The 3,544-nt window shown below is 46.3% G+C and overlaps 1 annotated feature.

The window, feature by feature from the left end:
* Positions 2,355 to 2,896: an enhancer, noted in NCBI's record as "OCT4-NANOG hESC enhancer chr11:6097755-6098296 (GRCh37/hg19 assembly coordinates)". NCBI's record gives its function as "activates a minimal SCP1, AML or CMV promoter by ChIP-STARR-seq in primed H9 embryonic stem cells {active_cell/tissue: H9 hESC(primed)}" and the evidence as "EXISTENCE:reporter gene assay evidence [ECO:0000049][PMID:30033119]".

Genomic DNA, 3,544 nt, shown 5'->3' on the forward strand with positions numbered 1-3,544 from the left:
TGTCGAGTTTGTATTGGGGTCAAGCAGCATTGCAGAAGAAAATAAGGCATTTAGGTTTTAGGTCAGGTGTGAGTTGAAGAGGTTTTAAGTTTTTGAGAACACAGGCCAAGGGAGTAGAAGGAGGAATGGAGAGTGGAAGGTTGCCCATAGTGAAGGAAGCAAGCCTAGAGAAAAGAGAGAGTAGAGAAATGGAGGGAAGGGATTCGGGGGTTCTTACCTTCCAGAAAAGTGAGAAAAGGTGTTGGGGTGCAGAGATAAGAGGTCAGGGTGCGGAAATAAGGGATGGGGCACAGAAATAAGGGGCTGGGGCATGGAAATAAGGGGTCAGGGCATGGAAATAAGGGGTTGGGGCACAGAAATAAGGGATTGGGGCACAGAGATAAGAGGTTGGGGCACGGAAATATGGGATTGGGGCGCAGAGATAAGAGGTTGGGCATGGAAATAAGGGATTGGGGCACAGAGATAAAAGGTTGGGGTGCAGAGATAAGAGGTTGGGGTGCAGAAATAAGGGATTGGGGTGCAGAGATAAGATGTTGGGGTGCAGAAATAAGGGATTGGGGCATAGAGATAAGAGGTTGGGGCGTGGAAGTAAGGGATTGGGGGTTCTTGCCCCATAGAAAAGTGGGACTTGCCACTAAGGGTGAAGGAGAAGGGGTTGAGGGGTACTTGCCCCCTCCCAGAAAAGCGGGACTTGCCACTAAGGGTGAAGGAGAAGGTGTTGAGGGGTACTTGCCCCTCTCCCAGAAAAGCAGAGAAGCGATAGAGACAAGGAGAGAAGGGGTTGAGGTACTTGCCCCTTCCCCAGAAAAGTGGGACTTGCCGCTAAGGGTGAAGGACCAAGGCAGGCATCACTGCGTGGTCTGACACCCTTGAAACGTGGGTGTATAATCAGAGAGGCATCCCTGTAATGATTAAACACCAAGGGAAGGCTGTCTTCCCAGTCCATGACTGGCGCCGGAGTTTTGGATCCACAGATAAAACATGTCTCCTTTGTCTCTCCCAGAAAATGAAAGGAATTGAAATTAAGAGAAGGGAGAGATTGAAGAGTGGAAAGGAGAAGGTGGTTGAGGGACAGTGAGAGAGGTTGGAGAAGAGAGTAAGAAGAGGCCGCTTGCCTGATTTAAAATTGGTGAGATGTTCCTTGGGCTGGTTGGTCTGAGGACCTGAGGTCATAGGTGGATCTTTCTCACAGAGCAAAGAACAGGAGGACAGGGGATTGATCTCCCAAGGGAGGTCCCCCGATCCGAGTCACAGCACCAAATTTCATGCGCGTCTGTGTGAAGAGACCACCAAACAGGCTTTGTGTGAGCAACATGGCTGTTTATTTCACCTGGGTGCAGGCGGGCTGAGTCCGAAAAGAGAGTCAGCAAAGGGAGATAAGGGTGGGACCGTTTTACAGGATTTGGGTAGGTAAAGGAAAATTACAGTCAAAGGGGGTTTGTTCTCTGGTGGGCAGGAGTGGGGGTCACAAGGTGCTCAGTGGGGGAGCTTTTTGAGCCAGGATGAGCCAGGAAAAGGACTTTCACAAGGTAATGTCATCAGTTAAGGCAAGGACCGGCCATTTACACTTCTTTTGTGGTGGAATGTCATCAGTTAAGGTGGGGCAGGGCATATTCACTTCTTTTGTGATTCTTCAGTTACTTCAGGCCATCTGGGCATATACGTGCAAGTCACAGGGGATGTGATGGCTTGGCTTGGGCTCAGAGGCCTGACACAAATAATACATTCTTTCTCTCAGCAACCCCAGTGTGTGGTGTTGGGAGGAGGATGGGGAGTGTCAAGAAATATGACTCTGATCACTTCAGCATCTGCTTCAAATTATCCCCAAAGCAGCCCATCCTTAAGCCTCTGTCTTCAGAAAACTAATAGATAATTACACCTGATTGTTGTGGGAAGTCAGGGACCCCGAATGGAGGGACCTGCTGAAGCCATGACAGAAGAACAGAAATTGTGAAGATTTCATGGACATTTGTTAGTTCTCCAAATTAATACTTTTATAATTTCTTATGCCTGTCTTTACTGCAATCTTTGAACATAAATTATGAAGATTTCATGGACATTTGTCACTTCCCCAATCAATACTCTTATAATTTCCTATGCCTGTCTTTAATCTCTTAATCCTGTCATGTTCGTAAGCTGAGGATGTATGTCACTTCAGGACCTTGTGATGATTGCGTTAATTGCACAAATTGCTCATAAAGCATGTATGTTTAAACAATATGAAATCTGGGCACCTTGAGAACAGGATAACAGCGATTTTCAGGGAACAAGGGAGATAATCTTAAAGTCTGGTTGCCTGTGGGCTGGGCAGGACAGAGCCATATTTCTCTTATTACCGAAAATGGGTAAGAGAAATATGGCTGAATTCTTTCCCCAGTAAGGAATATTAATAATTAACAGCCCTGGGAAAAGAATGCATTCCCAGGGGGGGCCTCTAATATGGCTGCCCTAGGAATGTCTGCCCTATGCAGTTGCAGATAAGGGATGAAACATGCCCTGGCTTCCTGCAGGATCCCTAGGCTTGCTAGGATTAGGAAATTCCAGCCTGGCGAATTCTAGTCAGACCAGTTCTCTGCTCTTGAACCCTGTTAAGATGTTTATCAATGACAATGCATGCACAGTGGGACAGGGAACCTCATCAGTAATGCTAATTTCACCTTTGCCTTGTGACCTTGCCCTGCTCATTTGCCTTGTGATATTTTGTTGCCCTTGAAGCATGTGATCTCTGTGACCCACACCCTATTCATACACTCCCTCCCCTTTGAAAATTGCTAATAAAAACTTGCTGGTTTTGCAGCTCAGGGGGCATCATGGAACCTGCCCACATGTGATGTCTCCCCTGGATACCCAGCTTTAAAATTTCTCTCTTGTACTCTTTCCGTTTATTTCTCAGACCAGCCAACACTTAGGGAAATAGAAAAGAACCTACGTGAAATAATGATGAATTATCGGGGGCAGGCTCCCCCGATATCTGGCACCCACATGGTTTTTCGTTTTCCCAAATGCATGTGGGAACCCGATTCCTTTTGGTAGGTGCAGAGAAACATCATTGGTTTGGTCCACATAAATGCTTGTTTGACTCCCTGATGACTGGTGAGTAGTCTGTGTATGGTCTGGGTTAACTATGGGTCACATGGAGTATAAAAATTATACTTATCTCTTCTATATTACACTCCGGTTAAAACAGAAAAGGGTTTAAGTGCCCATGGAAAATATGGTCACTCTATTCAGGGCAGTGGGAAAATACTGTCCTTGGTTTCCTGAAAAAGGAACCTTAGATGTAGACCTGTTAAAACAGGGAAGGGTTCGAGTAACCATGGAAAATATGGTCACTGTATTCAGGGCCGTGGAAAAATACTGTCCTTGGTTTCCTGAAAAAGGAACCGTATATGTAAAAGTATGGGATCGTGTTGGTTCAACATTCTGGGAACTGGTCTCAACAGGGAATTATGTTCCCATCACTGTTTGGGGTGATTGGGCCTTGGTACGTGCCGTTCTGATACCTCCTCAACTTTCCTCTCCCACATGGCCTTTGTTATCTGCT

This window comes from Homo sapiens, chromosome 11 (assembly GCF_000001405.40).
Source record: "Homo sapiens chromosome 11, GRCh38.p14 Primary Assembly".
Taxonomy (NCBI): Eukaryota; Metazoa; Chordata; class Mammalia; order Primates; family Hominidae; genus Homo; species Homo sapiens.